The sequence below is a fragment of the Homo sapiens genome, chromosome 19, assembly GCF_000001405.40.
Source record: "Homo sapiens chromosome 19, GRCh38.p14 Primary Assembly".
In the NCBI taxonomy this organism is placed as follows: Eukaryota; Metazoa; Chordata; class Mammalia; order Primates; family Hominidae; genus Homo; species Homo sapiens.
Genome location: NC_000019.10, coordinates 35,904,394 through 35,920,796, shown reverse-complemented (window position 1 = coordinate 35,920,796; position 16,403 = coordinate 35,904,394). Strand labels below are relative to the sequence as shown.

Sequence of the window (16,403 nt, the reverse complement as noted above, 5' to 3'; positions counted from 1 at the left end):
AGAGCCAGACCCTGTCTACAATAATAACAACAATAATAATAATAATAATAATAATAATAATAATAGGCCAGGCGCCGTGGCTCACGCCTGTAATCCCAGCACTCTCGGAGGCTGAGGCAGGCGGATCACGAGGTCGGGAGATCAAGACCATCCTGGCTAACACGGTGAAACCTTGTTTCTACTAAAAATACAAAAAATATTAGCCGGGCGTGGTGGCGGGCGCTTGTAGTCTCAGCTACTCAGGAGGCTGAGGCAGGAGAATGGCATCAACCCGGGAGGCGGAGCTTGCAGTGAGCCGAGATCGGGCCACTGCACTCCAGCCTGGGCAATAGGGCGAGACCGTCTCAATAATAATAATAATAATAATAATAATAATAATAATGTTGCCTTACATGTATGCTTCCTAAAACAGTGTAGTCTAATTTGGACTATTTTTTAACTCTATGTAAGGAGGAACCATATTGTATATACTCTTGTATGCGGGTTTTTTTTTTTTTTGAGACAGAGTCTCGCTCTGTTGCCCAGGCTGGAGTGCAGTGGTGCGATCTCAGCTCACTGCAAGCTCCGCCTCCCGGGTTCACGCCATTATCCTGCCTCAGCCTCCCGGGTAGCTGGGACTACAGGTGCCCGCCACCACGCCCAGCTAATTTTTTGTATTTTTAGTGGAGACGGGGTTTCACCGTGTTAGCCAGGATGGTCTCGATCTCCTGACCTCGTGATCCACCCGCCTCGGCCTCCCAAAGTGGTGGGATTACAGGCGTGAACCACCGTGCCCGCGGCTTCTTTCTTCTTCCACTCAACATTATCTTTGAGAGATAAGTCCATGTTGTGGCAAATGGATCTAGGGTATGTATTCCCATGGTTACACGGTATTCCATTGTGTGATATGCCCCAAGGTATGTATCCTTTCTCCTGCGATGGGCATTTGGGTTGTTTCTTTTGAAAAGCCTTACAAATAGGGTGGCCTTACAAATAGGGTGACTATCCTTACACAAGGCTCCTGGCATCTATTGCACCCATCTCTCTCAGATACAGATAGGGGCGGAAGTTGGGTCTCTGGGAAGTAAAGTGCCAAACTGTTTTTCAAAGTGGTTCAACCCCTCTGCCTCCTTCAGAGGTGTATGAGATTTTCTGTGGCTCCACATTTCACCACATCTGGTAGTGTCGGATTTTGAAAATTTCGACATTTCTAGGGGTAGAGGGAAAGGTGTGGAGCGGTTTTGCGCTACTAGTCTTGTTTGTTTTTAGAGATGGAGTCTGACTCTTGTCGCCCACTCTGGACTGCAGTGTTGCAATCTTGGCTCACTGCAACCTTTGCCTACCGGGTTCAGGCAATTCTCCTACCTCGGCCTCGTAACTGGGATTACAGGCATGTGCCACCATGCCGGCTATGTTTGTATTTTTAGTAGAGACGGGGTTTTGCCATGTTGGCCAGGCTGGTCTTGAACTACTGACCTCAGGTGATCCTTCCACCTCCGCCTGCCAAAGTGCTGGTATTGCAGGCGTGAGCCACTGCACCAGGCCTTACATTGTTTTAATGTTTGTTCTCCTTCTGAGGATGAGCACCTTTTCACACCTTTATTGCCATTTAGAGTTCCTCTTTTCTGAAGTGCTTGCTTGAAGTGGCTCATGCCTGCAATCCCCGAAATTTGGGAGGCCAAGGCCAGAGGACGCCTTGAGCCCAGGAGTTTGAGACCAGCCTGGGCAAGACCCTGTTTCTAAAAAAATTTAAAAATTAGCCAGGCATAGTAGCCCATACTTATGGTCTTAGTTACTTGGGAGGCTGAGGTGGGAGGATGGCTTAGGCCAGGGAGGTTGAGGCTGCAGTGAGCTAGGATTCTGCCACTCTACTCCAGCCTGGGTAACAGAGTGAGACCCTGTTTCAAATAAATAAATCAATTGGCCAGATGCAGTGGCTCATGCCTGTAATCCAAGCACTTTGGGAGGCCAAGGTGGGCCAATTGCCTGAGCTCAGGAGTTTGAGAACAACCTGGTCAACATGGCGAAACCCCGTCTCTACTAAAAATACAAAGATTAACCGGGTGTGGTGGCATGTGCCTGTAATTCTAGCTATTCGGGACACTGAGGCAGCAGAATCGCTTGAACCTGGGAGGTGGAGGTTGCAATGAGCCAAGATTGCACCACTTCATTCCGGCTTGGGTGACAGAGTGAGACTGTCTCCAAAAAATAAAATAAAATAAATTAAATTAATTAATTAAGTGTCTACTTGAGTTTGCCAATTTTTCTTCTGGGGTTTGCTGTTTGTTTTTAAGGAGTTATTTATGTGTGCAGGATATGTTCAGATTCATTGCATTATGTGTTACAAATTTCTTCTCCTACTCTGTAACCATTTTCTAATGGTTATCTTTTTTTTAATAAAAAATCTCAAACATACACAAAAGTAGAGAGAATCGTATAATGAATTCCCATAGACTTATTGCCAGCTTTAATAATTGTCAATTCGTGCTAATCTTATTCCCTCTCTACCTGAACCTACTTCTTCTTTATTGGATTGCTTTTAACACTTTCCAGACGTCTTATTATTTCACCTCCCAAATTTGTAGGAAGTACATATCGCTAAGTAATAATGACCTTTTAAAATATAGATCTAAATATATAGCCACATTATCATTCTAAGATATCTTTTGGTGAATGTTAATTCTTTTTTTTTTTTTTTTTTTTTTGAGACGGAGTCTCACTCTGTCGCCCAGGCTGGAGTGCAGTGGCGCTATATCTCCGCTCACTGCAAGCTCCGCCTCCTGGGTTCACGCCATTCTCCTGCCTCAGCCTCCCGAGTAGCTGGGACTACAGGCGCCCGCCACCACGCCTGGCTAATTTTTTTGTGTATTTTTAGTAGAGACAGGGTTTCACCGTGTTAGCCAGGATGGTCTTGATCTCCTGACCTTGTGATCTGCCCACCTCGGCCTCCCAAAGTGCTGGGATTACAGGCTTGAGCCACCGCGCCCGGCCATTAATTCTTTTTTTTGGGAGACAGAGTCTCGCTCTGTCACCCAGGCTGGAGTGCAGTGGCGTGATCTCGGCTCACTGTAGCCTCGACCTCCAGGGCTCAAGTGATCTTCCCACCTCAGCCCCCCAAGTAGCTCAGACTACAGGTGTGTGCCACCACGCTCGGCTAATTTTTAATTTTTTTTGTAGAGAGAGTGTCTCTCTATGTTGCTCAGGCCGGTCTACACCTCCTGACCTCAAGCAATCCTCCTGCCTTGGCCCCACAAAGTGCTGGGATTACAGGGATGAGCCACTGTGGCAAGTTCTTAATTTTTTTTTTTTTCCCCTTGAGACAGAGTCTTGCTCTGTCCTTGTTGCCCAGGCTGGAGTGCAGTGGCCCAATCAAATCATGACTCACCATAGCCTCAACCTCCTGGGCTCAGGTGATCCTCCTATCTCAGCCTCCCAAGTAGCTGAAACTACAGGCATGTACCACCACACTCGGCTGATGTGTTTGTTTGTTTGTTTGTTTGTTTGTTTTCGTAGACAAGGTCTCGCTATGTTGCCCGGACTGGTCTTGATCTCCTGGCCACAATTGAGGTTCCTGATTCAGCCCCCCAAAGTGCTGGGATTATAGGCATGAGCCACCATGCCTGGCCATGACTCTATTTATGTTATGGATGAACCACAATTGATGAAACCATCAAGCATTACTTGGATTCTACTTAAAAAGCCTTCAAAATGTTAGCTGTTGTGGTTAAAGTGGGTGCCCACAGCCAGAATAAGGGCCACATTCCAGCCAATAGGAAGAGCAGAAAAGGAGAGGGCATACTCTGACTTTAGGGACACAATCTGGAAGTTGCCCGCATCATTTCTTCCCAAGTTCCGTTTGCCAGAAAACAGATACATGGCCCCAACAGGCTCCAAAGAGGATGAGAGACATCTTCTTGGCTAGGGAATCTCATGCCCAACTACAAATTCTGTTTCAGTAGAGGAAGGGGTGGCTGGGCAAGGGGGTTCACACCTGTAATCCCAGCACCTTAGGAGGCCAAGGCAGGTGGATTGCCTGAGCTCAGGAGTTTGAGACCAGCCTGGGCAAGGTGGTGAAACACTATCTCTACAAAAAAATTTAAAAATTAGCTGGCATGGCGGTGCCTGCCAGTAGTCCCTGCTACTTGCAGAGCTGAGGTGGGAAAATTATTTGAGCCTGGGAGGTTGAGGCTGCAGTGAGCTATGTTCCTGCTAGTACACTACAGCCTCAGTGACAGAGTGAGATCACATCTCTAAAAAAATAAAAATAAAAATTAGGATGTCGGGAGTGGTGGCTCACGCCTGTAATCCCAACACTTTGGGAGGCCGAGGCTGGCAAATCACCTGAGGTCAGGAATTAGAGACCAGCCTGACCAATATGATGAAACCCCGTCTCTACTAAAAATACAAAAATTAGCTGGGCATGGTGGTGCATGCCTGTAATCCCAGCTACTCAGGAGGCTGAAGCAGGAGAATCGCTTGAACCCAGGAGGCAGAAGTTGCAGTGAGCCAAGGTTGCACCATTGCACTCCAGCCTGGGCAACAAGAGCAAAACTTCATCTCAAAAAAAAAAAAAAAACAAAAAAAAAAAACAGACGTGGTGGCTCACACCTATAGAAGAAGAAGGGGAGAAAAAAATATTGGTGAGGCCAGGTGCAGTGACTCATACCTGTAATTCCAGGGCTTTGGGAGAATGAGGTGGGAGGATCGCTTGAGGCCAGGAGTTCAAGACCAGCCCAGGCAACATGGCAAAACATCATCTCTATGAAAAATATAAAAATTAGCTGGGCATGGTGATGCGCACCTATAGTCCCAGCTACTTGGGAGGCTAAAGTGGGAGGATCGCTTGAGCCCAATAAGTTGAGGCTGTAGTGAGCCATGATTGCACCACTGCACTCCAGCCTGCGTAACAGAGCAAGACCCTTTCTCCAATAAAAAGATAAGTAAAAATAGTTCATTCCTTTTTATTGCTGAGTAGTATCCCACCGTGTGGATCTCAAAAAAATGGATAAACAACTTGTTTATCCATTCATCCAGTGAAGAACCATTCGGTTGTTTCCAGTTTGGGGCAATTATGAACAAAGCCACTATTAATATATGGTACTGGTTTTTGTATAAACTCACGTTTTCACTTCTCTTTGGTAAATACCTAGGAGTGGGAGTGTTGGGTTGTATGGTGTGTTTATGTTTAAATTTCTTAGAAATTGCCAAACTTCCCCCAGTGTCTGATGCAAATGACAGAAGCCTTCACAGAAGGTCCCAGATCACTTTAGCAGTGGAGCTGAGGTGTTTGCTCCCCAAGGCAGGAGTAGGATCTGATCTGTGTAGCTCAGGGACTGATTTCTTGGACCTCCTAGAGATTCAGTGGGTTCCCTAATGTCATTGAACACATCACACATCCCCTTCTTTTTTTTTTTTTTTTTTTGAGATGGAGTCTCACTCTGTTGCCTAGGCTGGAGTGCAGTGGCGCAATCTCGGCTCACTGCAAGCTCCGCCTCCTGGGTTCACGCCATTCTCCTGCCTCAGCCTCCCGAGTAGCTGGGACTACAGGCACCCACCACCATGCCTGGCTAATATTTTTGTATTTTTAGTAGAGACAGGGTTTCACCGTGTTAGCCAGGATAGTCTGGATCTCCTGACCTTGTGATCTGCCCACCTCAGCCTCCCAAAGTGCTGGGATTACAGGCGTGAGCCACCGCCCCCAGCCTCTTTTTTTTCTTTTCTTTTCTTTCTTTTTGTCTCTCTTTCTTTCTTCTTTCTTTTCTTTCCTTCTTTCTTTCTCTCTCTCTCCCTCCCTTCCTTCTTCCTTCCTTTTTTCTTTCTCTTGAAACAGGGTCTCCTTCTGTCACCCAGGCTGGAGTGCAGTAGTGCCACGATAGCTCACTGCAACCTCCAATCCCTGGGTTCAGGCAACCTTCCTGCTTCAGACTCCTGAGTAGCTGGGACCACAAGTGTGCTCCACCACGCCTAGCTAATTTAAAACAATTTTGGGGGCCAGGCATGGTGGCTGATGCCTGTAATCTCAGAACTTTAGGAGGCTGAGGTGGGAGGATCGCTTGAGGCCAGGAGTGTGAGAACAGCCTGGCCAACATGGCGAAACCCTGTCCCTACTAAAAAAATACAAAAATTAGCCAGGTGTGGTGGCTCATGCCTGTAATCCCAGCTACTTGGGAGGCTGAGGCAGGAGAATCGCTTGAATCTGGGACGGGGAGGCTGCAATGAGCCGAGATCGAGCCACTGCACTCCAGCCTGGGCGGCAGAGAGAGACTCCATCTCAAAAAAAAAAAAAAAAAAAAAAAAAAAATTTGGGCCAGGCAGAGTGGCTCACGCCTGTAATCTCAGCACTTTGTGAGGCTGAGGCAGGCGGATCAGTTGAGGTCAGGAGTTCGAGATCAGCCTGACCAACATGGTGAAAGCCCATCTGTATGAAAAATAGAAAAATTAGGCCAGGCACAGTTGCTCACGCCTCTAATTCCAGCACTTTGGGGGGCTGAGGAGGGTGGATCACCAGAGGTCAGGACTTTGAGAACAACCTGACCAACATGGTGAAAGCCCACCTGTACTAAAAATACAAAAAACTATCCGGGCGTGGTGGTGGGTGCCTGTAATCCCAGCTACTCAGGAGGCTGAGGCATGAAAATTGCTTGAACCCAGGAGGCGGAGGTTGCAGTGAGCTGAGATCGTGCCACTGCACTCCAGCCTGGGTAACAGAATGAGACTCTGTCTCAAAAAAAAGAACAATTTTTGTAAATATGGTATCTTGCTATGTTTCTCAGGCTGATCTTGAACTTCTGGCCTCAAGAGATCCTCTCACCTTAGTCCCCTAAGGCACTGAGATGACAGGTGTGAGCTACTGCAGAATGTTTAAAGGAAACAACCGACTATTTTCCAAAGCGGTTGCTCTATTTTTCATTTCCACCGGCAGTGTCTGAGATTTCCAACTGCTCCACATTTCTGCTGACACTCGATAGGGTCAGTCTTTTTAATTTTAGTCATTTAAGTGGGCGTGCAGTGACATTTCACTGAGGTTTCGTTTATATTTCCCTAATGACTAATAGTGCTGAGCACTTTTTCACAGGCTTCCTGGCCATTCATGTCTCTTCTTCTTCTTCTTCTTTTTTTTTTTTTGAGATGGAGTCTCACTTTTGTCGTCCAGGCTGGAGTGCAATGGCTTGATCTCAGCTCACTACAACCTTTGCCTCCAAGGTTCAGGTGATTCTCCTGCCTCAGCCTCCCAAGCAGCTGGGATTACAGATGCCTGCCACCGTGCCTGGCTAATTTTTGTATTTTTAGTAGAGATGGGGTTTCACCATATTGGCCAGGCTGGTCTTGAACTCCTGACCTCAGGTGATCTGCCCGCCTTGGCCTTCCAAAGTGTTGGGATTACAGGCGTGAGCCACCACGCTGGCTTTTTTTTTTTTTTTTTGATGGAGTCTTGCTCTGTTGCCCAGGCTGGAGTGCAGCGGTGCGATCTCGGCTTACTGAAACCTCTGTCTCCTGGGTTCAAGGGATTCTCCTGCTTCAGCCTCCTGAGTAGATGGAATTATAGGAAACTGCCACCACGCCCAGATAATTTTTGTGTTTTTAACAGAGATGTGGTTTCACCATATTTGCTGGGCTGGTCTCGAACTCCTTACCTCAGGTGATCCGCCCACCTTGGCCTCCTAAAGTGCTGGGATTACAGGAGTGAGCCACCACGCCCGGCCTTCACGTCTCATCTTTAGTGAAGTGTCTGTTCAAATGTTTTGGTCACTTAAAAATTAGGCTATTTGTCTGATTTTTAAATTAAATTAATTAATTTTTTTCTTTTTTGAGACAGGGTCTCACTCTGTGGCCCAGGCTGGACTGCTGTGGCACAATCAAAGCTCACTGTAGCTTCTGCCTCCCCAGGCTCAGGTGATCCTCCCACCTCAGCCTCCCTAGTAGCTAGGACTACAGGTAGGTGCCACCATGCTGGGCTAATTTTTGTATTTTTTGTAGAGCTGGGATTTTGCCCTGTTGCTCAGGCTGGTCTCAAACTTCTGGGCTCAAGCAATTCACCTGCCTCAGCTTCCCAAAGTGCTGGGATTTACAAGCTTGAGCCATCACGCCTGGCTCCCAGGCTGGTCTTGAAATCCTGAGGTCAAGTAATATGCCTGCCTTGGTGTCCCAAAGTGTTGGCATGACAGGCGTGAGCCACCATGCCCAGCCTATTTTTAAAAATATAATTAGAGCTGGGCACGGTGGCTCACGCCTGTAATCCCAGCACTTTGCGAGGCGGAGGCAGGTGGATCACCTGAGGTTGCGAGTTCGAGACCAGCCTGACCAACATGGAGAAACCCCATCTCTACTAAAAATACAAAATTAGCCAAGCATGGTGGCGTATGCCTGTAATCCCAGCTACTCGGCAGGCTGAGGCAGGAGAATTGCTTGAACCCGGGAGGTGGAGGTTGCAGTGAGCGGAGATCGCGCCACTGCACTCCAGCCTGGGCGACAAGAGCAAAACTCCATCTCAAAAAAAAAAAAAAGAATTAGAGACAGGGTCTCGTTATGTTGCCCAGGCTGGTTTTGAACTCCTGGCCTCAAGCGATCCTTCTGCCTTGGCCTCTATTCATCTGATGTTTTACAAAGCTTCCAGCTGCTTTGAGGAGGACAGGCTGTGGAGGGGCCAGTGTGGAAGCTGGGAGAGTGGGGAGGGACTGTAGCTTCCACAGAAGTGAGCTGGTCACAGGCCAACACACTACCTGGTTTCTGGGAAAGTCAGCGTTGGCTTCCCCAACTCTTGGCCTGCTGCCCAGAGAGGGTGAGACACTCACCTCTTGATCTTGTGTGGAGGCCCTCAGCTCAGCTTCCAGGAGTCTGGCAGTGTCTTGGGGCAGCGCCTTGTTGCTGGGTGCCCTGAATCTCAGCTTCTTCCTTCATCCAAAGAGGGAGGGTTTTTTTGTTTTGTTTTGTTTTGTTTATTTTGAGACGGAGTCTTGCTCTGTTGCCCAGGCTTGAGTGCAGTGGTGCGATCTCGGCTCACTGCAACCTCTGCCTCCCAGGTTCAAGCGATTCTCCTGCCTTAGCCTCCTGAGTAGCTGGGATTACAGATGTGTACCACCACGCCTGGCTAATTTTTGTATTTTTTAGCAGGGACGGGGTTTCACCATGTTGGCCAGGATGGTCTCAAACTCCTGACCTCAAGTGATCCACCCGCCTCAGTCTCCCAAAGTGGTGGGATTACAGGTGTGAGCCACTATGCCTGGCCAAAGAGAGTGTTTTATCCGTCCTCTAGCCCAGAGGCCAGCCCAGACCTGCCACCTGTGGTCTGCATCAGCACAGTTGTATTGGTTGCTAAAATGTTGAAACATTCCACTTCTGGTTAGTAAAGAGCCCACATAGCCCACAGATGTCTGCTACCACCCGAGTCCATTCTTTGGGGACCCCTTGGACTTTCCCACATCTCAGCAACTAAAGGTGGCGCTCTAGGACCCTGATTCCAGCCCCTATGGCCACATCCGTATGACTGGATGGTGCTTGGGGAATATCTTCTGGGGACAGCCCAGGCCTGGCTGAAGTGGGGAGGATGAGACTAGGAGGCTGATGCTGAAGGACTGAGGGAGGATTTTTTTTTTTTTTCTGAGTCAAAGTCTCACTCTTGTCATCCAGGCTGGAGTGCAATGGCATGATCTTGGCTCACTGCAACCTCTGCCTCCCAGGTTCAAGCGATTCTCCTGCCTCAGCCTCCCAAGTAGCTGGTATTACAGGCGCCTGCCACCATGTCTGGCTAGTTTTTGTATTTTTAGTAGAGACAGGGTTTCACCATGTTGGCCAGGCTGGTCTCAAACTCCTGACCTCAGGTGATCCACCCTCCTTGGCCTCCTAAAGTCCCAAAATCCAAAATCACGCCTGGGATTACAGGTGTGAGCCACTGCACCTGGCTGAGGGAGGATTTTTATCAAGCTAAGCTGAGAACTCGAGACTGGACATACTAATTTTTAGCATGGAACATATCCAAGTCACACGGTACCGAAGTATGTTCGCAGCAGTGAATCCATAGGGGTCTGCAGCAACCTCAATCCTTGCCTCCTCAAAAAAGAATTTGACCAAGGGACATAAGGCAGAGTGAGAAACCAAGGTAAGTTTTAGAGCAGGAGTGAAAGTTTATTATTATTATTATTATTATTATTATTATTATTATTATTATTATTATTTTGAGACTGAGTTTCGCTTTTGTTGCCCAGGCTGGAGTGCAATGGCGCAATCTCTGCTCACTGCAACCTCTGCCTCCTGGGTTCAAGCGATTCTCCTGCCTCAGGCTCCTGAGTAGCTGGAATTACAGGCACGCGCCACCACGCCAGGCTAATTTTGTATTTTTTAGTAAAGACCGAGTTTCTCCATATTGGTCAGGCTGGTCTCGAACTGCCGACCTCAGGGGATCCGCCCACCTCGGTCTTCCAAAGTGTTGGATTACAGGCGTGATCCACCGCGCTTGGCCCTTTATTATTATTATCATTATTTTGAGACAGAGTCTTGCTGTGTCGCCCAGGCTGGAGTGCAGTGGCGCGATCTCAGCTCACTGTAACCTCCACCTTCCAGGTTCAAGGTATTGTCTTGCCTCAGCCTTCTGAGTAGCTGGGACTACAGGTGCCCACCACCATGCCCAGGTAATTTTTTGTATTTTTAGTAGAGACCGGGTTTCACCATGTTGGCCAGGATGGTCTCGATCTCCTGACCTCGTGATCCGCCCGCCTCAGCCTCCCAAAGTGCTGGGATTACAGGCATAAGCCACCGTGCCCAGCCTAATTTTTAGTAGAGATGGGGTTTCACCATGCTGGCCGGGCTGGTCTTGAACTCAACCAGGCATTATTCTAATAGACCTCACAATATCCTCACAAATATCCCAGCAGCCTGGCCTCCCTGCTCCAGTCCCTGCCTCCACAGTCTGCTCCCCACCTGCGGCCGGAGGGAACCTGTGAACCCCTGAGTCAGGTCAGGGCCCTCCTGGCTCAGAGCCCTGCTCTGGTCTCTGACTGCCCCCTCGCCCACTCTGCTCCAACACATTGGGTGGCCTGGTGTGCCCGGGAGGACCTACAGGGTCTGTTCCCTCCATGCTCGCTCTAGACACAATGGGAGAGGCTTGGGTTTTTAAGGGAGGGGACTCAGCCAGGCCTGAACAGTGGTGACCGTGGGCTGAGCTGGGACCTGACCCTCCTCCAGGCTCCAAATCTCCTCTCCTCCCTTCCCCCACAGGCCACTGGGCATCTGCCCTGTGACCAGAATCCAGTTTCCCCTTTTTTCTCCTAAGCCCAGGCCCAAGGAGCGGTGGGTGTGACGTGTGGATGGGGGAGGGGGGCTTCCTGCAGCTGTCTCATCCTCCAGCACCCTAACCTCAGGTTCCTCCTTCCCCAGCCCCAGGCTCCAGCTGGGGGCTAGAAGTCCCCGTCTCCTTGGGGTGGCCTCCCTTGGGCCTTGCTCCCAGCCACTTCCTCATTCAGCAGGAGAGCCAGCCACCTGCCTCTCCCCAAGCCGCCAGCCGTGCCTCTGTGTCTGTGCCACTGCCTTACTCTCACCTTTCTCAGCTTTGCCGCTGTTTTCTCCTTCCCCATCTTTCATCTTTGTTTTTCCCCCTGACTCTTCCCTAGTCAAAAACCTGATTTTGGGTCTTGGGTTCCATTTCCACCTTGATTTGCTGTGCAGCCTTAGGCAAGCGTCTCTACCTCTCTGAACAATGGGGATGATAAGAGCATGTGCCCTAGAAGGGCATTGCGGGGACTGAATGATTTAACGCTTGGGACAGAGTGCCTGCATGTCATTAGTGCCCACATGCTGCTGGCTCTTTTAATATCCTTTAAACAGCACAAGTTTCTGATGATTAAATAATCATCATCATAGCTGATGCTTTTAAAAAGCTGACAAGGGTCAGACCCTGGTCTAGGAACTTTAATTCATTTAATCCCCACAACTCTAAAAAGTAGGTCCCATTTTACTCCCAATTTTACAGATGAAGAAACTGAGGTTGGAGCTGGGTGCGGTGGCTCACACTTGCAATCCTAGCACTTCGGGAGGCCAAGGTGGGTGGATCACCTGAGGTCAGGAGTTTGAGACCAGCTGGCCAACATGGTGAAACCCTGTCTCTACTAAAAAAAAAAGAAAAAAAAATACAAAAAATTAGCCGGGCATGGTGGCAGGCGCCTATAATCCCAGCTACTTGGGAGGCTGAGGCAGGAGAATCACTTGAACCCGGGAGGCAGAGGTTGCAGTGAGCCGAGACCGTGCCATTGCACTCAAGGTTGACCAGCCAGGAAGAGGCAGAGCTGGTTTCAATCAGCCAGAGGAAGGTCATGACACTGACCCTCCTGTTAAAACGATGTCTGACCCCTGACTGGGGACGGAGGTGAAGTTTGTGCTTCACGTACCCTTTGCCCTTCACGTCTAGTTGCTGGGGGCCTGTGGCATGGCCCCTGGGTGTCTGGGCCTGATTCTTTCTTGGGTTTTGTTTCTGTCTCTCCTCCCCTGTCTCCTCCTCCCTTCTGCCACCACCCGCCTCAGACTTCCTCCTTCACTTGCCTGGACGCTGCGCCACATCCCACCGGCCCTTACACTGTGGTGTCCAGCAGCATCCGGCTTCATGGGGGGACTTGAACCCTGCAGCAGGCTCCTGCTCCTGCCTCTCCTGCTGGCTGTAAGTGGTGAGTTAGGGGCTTCCGTGGCTGCCTCCCGGGTCCCTGGGCTCAGCTTGGGGCAGGGCAGGGAGTGGGGTGGAACGAGAGAACCAAAAGTGGGTGTTGGGATGGGAGCAGGTCCCCAACCTCCCAAAGCCTGTGGGTTTCTCCCAGAGCCCAAGCCCCCAAGTTTTGTCGTCCGCTACAAGCAGGGGAGAAGAGACATCTAAGTGTGTTGCCACAGGACAAGTTGTGCAGAAGTAACGCACATAGTCCGGTGGCCCAGACGCCAGCCCCCTGAGTCCCGCCAGACACGCTCTCCCCCTTGCTAACCTCTTGGCTGTCAGGATCCACCTTCCCTGGCTTCTAAACTTGCCTCCCCCACCCCCGTCATAACTCTGTGCCTCAGTTTACCTTCTTTTTCCTCCTCAGGTCTCCGTCCTGTCCAGGCCCAGGCCCAGAGCGGTAGGCCTAGACCCAGCAGTCCCTCTCTCTACCTCCCAGAGACCTCCCTGTCTCCGTCTCTCCCACACCCTTTCCAAACCTCCCTGCCGCTGACCCCCCTCCCCACAGTTCCCAGCACACACTGACCTCCCCTGACCCCTGTGCTGCAGATTGCAGTTGCTCTACGGTGAGCCCGGGCGTGCTGGCAGGGATCGTGATGGGAGACCTGGTGCTGACAGTGCTCATTGCCCTGGCCGTGTACTTCCTGGGCCGGCTGGTCCCTCGGGGGCGAGGGGCTGCGGAGGGTGAGTGGGGCTAGCAGGGGACATCCTGAGGACTTGCCTAGATGGGGGTGGGGGGCTGGGTAAACTCCCAGATCTCAAACATCCAAAGGGATGGTAATGGAGGTGCTGATTTGGAATGACAAAACACCCTCAACTCACCACTCTGCCTGTCTCTGCACCCCACAACACCCCTCACCTCCAGCAGCGACCCGGAAACAGCGTATCACTGAGACCGAGTCGCCTTATCAGGTGAGAAAACCAGACTGTCCTCCTCACATTTCACTCCTGCCAGGGATATCTGCCCCAGATACTCCTTCATGCCATCAGAGGGACCTCAAAGCCACTCTGCCTAAAGCACCCCCAAACCTTGAAGGCACATGGGACATCTGTCCAAAACTGGGCCGAATGATCAACCACAAGCTTATGGTCAGCTTAAAATGTGTGAAGAGGGGCTGGGCACGGTGACTCAAACCTGTAATCCCAGCACTTTGGGAGACAGAGGCGGGTGGATCACTTGAGGTCAGGAGTTCGAGACCAACATGGTGAAACCCTGTCTCTACTAAAAATACAAAATTAGCTGGGCGTGGTAACGCATGCCTGTAATCCCAGCTACTTGGGAGGCTGAGGCAGGAGAATCCTTTGACCCAGGAGGCGGAGGTTGCAGTGAGCCAAGATCACGCAATTGCACTCCAGCCTGGGCAACAAGAGGAAAACTCTGTCAAAAAAAAAAAAGCGTGAAGAGTTAAAAAGAAAAAAAAAAGGGTGGCTTTGCCTTTGTAAGTGTAAACACAGGCCTTGCCAGAAGTCAGGCCAGGAATTTTCTGGAAGAAACCCAGCCCTAGGACGACTGATTTCTGGGAGACGCTCTCAGTAGGGCAGAGAATGTCATTCAGCCCTACCTTGGTAACTCTAAAGAGAGGAGTCCTAGAATCTCTTTTTTGGGTTTGAGGACCCTTCATCCCTTTGAGAAACTAAGAAAATCTAGACTCCCAGAAAAATCTACACAAAAAATACAAAATTGTGCATATAATCTGAGAGCAGTGTAAATGTTCTTTATAATTAAAAAAAATTTTTTTTTGGCCAGGCATGGTGGCACACACCTGTAATCCCAGCACTTTGGGAGGCCAAGGTGGGTGGATCACGAGGTCAGGAGTTCAAGACCAGCCAGGCCAGGATGGTGAAACCCCATCTCTACTAAAAATACAAAAATTAGCTGGGCATGGTGTCATGCGCCTGTAATTCCAGCTTCTCAGGAGGCTGAGGCAAGAGAATCGCTTGAACCCAGGGGGCGGAGGTTGCAGTGAGCCTGGGCGACAGAGTGAGACTCCATCTCAAAAAAAAAAAAAAGACAGGGGTCTCACTATGTTGCCCCAGCTGGTCTCAAACTCCCAGTCTCAAGTGATCCTCCCGCCTCAGCCTCCGAAAATCTTGGGATTACAGGCTCAAGCAACCATGCTGGTTGAGTATTCTTGAAGCTCTTTTTTCTTTCTCTACTTTAATTTTTTTTTTTTTTTGAGATGGAGTCTCATTCTGTCACCCAGGCTGGAGTGCAATGGTGTGGTCTCAGCTCACTGCAACCTCCACCTCCCAGGTTCAAGCGATTCTCTTGCCTGAGCCTCCCGAGTAGCTGGAACTACAGGTGCATGCCACCACACCCGGCTAATTTTTGTATTTTTAGTAGAGATGGGGTTTCACTATGTTGGCCAGGCTGGTCTCAATCTCCTGACCTCGTGATCCGCCCACCTTTCCCTCCCAAAGTGCTGGGATTAGAGGTGTGAGCCACCGCGCCCGGCCTTAATTTTTTTTTTTTTTTTAAAGTAGAGATAGGTTCTCACTATGTTGCCCAGGCTGGTCTCAAACTCCTGGGCTCAAGAGATCCTGTTACCTCGGTCTCCCAAAGTGCTGGGATTATAGGCATGAGTCACCATGCCTGGCTGAAGCTCTTTTTAAAAACTATAGAGTATACAAGAGAATCTAGTCATCTATCCCCCTCTCTGTCAATGTTCCTTTTTAACCCTTTAGGGGGTCATGAGATTCTCTAAGACCTCTCCCCTGAAGAATGCACGCCCAGACTAGTCATCATATATGATTTTAGGGTTTCTGTCTGAGGCCTGCCCCTGGGGGCCACATAGATCCTCCCCCTACCCCAAGTGTGAACACTGCTGTGTGAAGTCTGATATATTGTCTGCAACCAGCTTTGCCTATTCACCTCACTTGTGGATAAAGTTTCTTTGTGAAGTCTAAGAATCTCAGGTTTGGCTCTGTGATATCCAGAAGACCGAGGGGCCCTTCCAGTTACTGGTGGCAGTGAAATTTTAGGGCAAAGCATTACCCGGATGTATTTATTCCCTCTGTGGATGTGTCTAGCACCTATAAGTGCTAAATGCTGGGGACACAGTGACAGAGTTTATATCCTAGTTAAGACAAACTTAAAGCAAATGAACAAATAAAATAATTTTGGGAGGCACAGTAAAGGAAATAAACAGGCTTTTTTTTTTTTTTTTACAGTGGCTGGAGTGTGGGGGGAAGAAACTACAGAGGGGAAATTGAGAAATGCCTCTCTGAGGAGGTGACGTGAGCTGAGACTTGAAGGGAGAGGGGATCTAGGGGAACAGAGTTTTAGGCAGAGGAAACAGCACACGCAGGGACCCTGAGGCTGGGGCACACTGATGAGGCAGAGGAGAAGGGGGAACATTGAATGTACTTGAATAAAATCCGGATCTCTTTCATGGCTATAAGGCTGAAGAAGCTGCCAGGGGCCTTGCAGGCCACTGGGAGAAGGCTGGATTTTATTTGGTGGGTCCCTTCCACTGATGGCCCCCATTCCTTTAGGAGCTCCAGGGTCAGAGGTCGGATGTCTACAGCGACCTCAACACACAGAGGCCGTATTACAAATGAGCCCGAATCATGACAGTCAGCAACATGATACCTGGATCCAGCCATTCCTGAAGCCCACCCTGCACCTCATTCCAACTCCTACCGCGATACAGACCCACAGAGTGCCATCCCTGAGAGACCAGACCGCTCCCCAATACTCTCCTAAAATAAACATGAAGCACAAAAACATTATGCC

General features: G+C 49.6%; 1 protein-coding gene across 5 annotated transcripts, besides 4 other annotated features; it reads left to right on the top strand.

Annotated features, from left to right (window-relative positions):
• Positions 10,986–11,095: an enhancer, noted in NCBI's record as "active region_14507". NCBI's record gives its function as "activates an Ori minimal core promoter by ATAC-STARR-seq in GM12878 lymphoblastoid cells {active_cell/tissue: GM12878}" and the evidence as "EXISTENCE:reporter gene assay evidence [ECO:0000049][PMID:35858748]".
• Positions 11,196–11,245: an enhancer, noted in NCBI's record as "active region_14506". NCBI's record gives its function as "activates an Ori minimal core promoter by ATAC-STARR-seq in GM12878 lymphoblastoid cells {active_cell/tissue: GM12878}" and the evidence as "EXISTENCE:reporter gene assay evidence [ECO:0000049][PMID:35858748]".
• Positions 11,396–11,525: an enhancer, noted in NCBI's record as "active region_14505". NCBI's record gives its function as "activates an Ori minimal core promoter by ATAC-STARR-seq in GM12878 lymphoblastoid cells {active_cell/tissue: GM12878}" and the evidence as "EXISTENCE:reporter gene assay evidence [ECO:0000049][PMID:35858748]".
• On the top strand, positions 12,502–16,394 carry TYROBP (transmembrane immune signaling adaptor TYROBP). Of its 5 annotated transcripts, none has more exons than NM_198125.3 (5): positions 12,502–12,629; positions 13,035–13,067; positions 13,217–13,351; positions 13,536–13,579; positions 16,163–16,394. In NM_198125.3, exons 1-5 carry the CDS (start codon positions 12,569–12,571, stop codon positions 16,226–16,228), a joined length of 339 nt encoding a protein of 112 aa, NP_937758.1. In that variant the 5' UTR covers positions 12,502–12,568; the 3' UTR covers positions 16,229–16,394. The 5 variants fall into 5 exon arrangements, 4 of the variants coding, with proteins under 4 accessions (NP_937758.1, NP_003323.1, NP_001166986.1 ...); NM_003332.4 differs by having other exon boundaries at positions 13,533–13,579; NR_033390.2 differs by lacking the exon at positions 13,035–13,067 and having other exon boundaries at positions 12,502–12,622; positions 13,533–13,579.
• Positions 13,337–13,490: a silencer, noted in NCBI's record as "fragment chr19:36398209-36398362 (GRCh37/hg19 assembly coordinates)". NCBI's record gives its function as "represses an EF-1alpha promoter that drives an FKBP-Casp9 reporter gene in an ReSE screen in HepG2 liver carcinoma cells {active_cell/tissue: HepG2}" and the evidence as "EXISTENCE:reporter gene assay evidence [ECO:0000049][PMID:32094911]".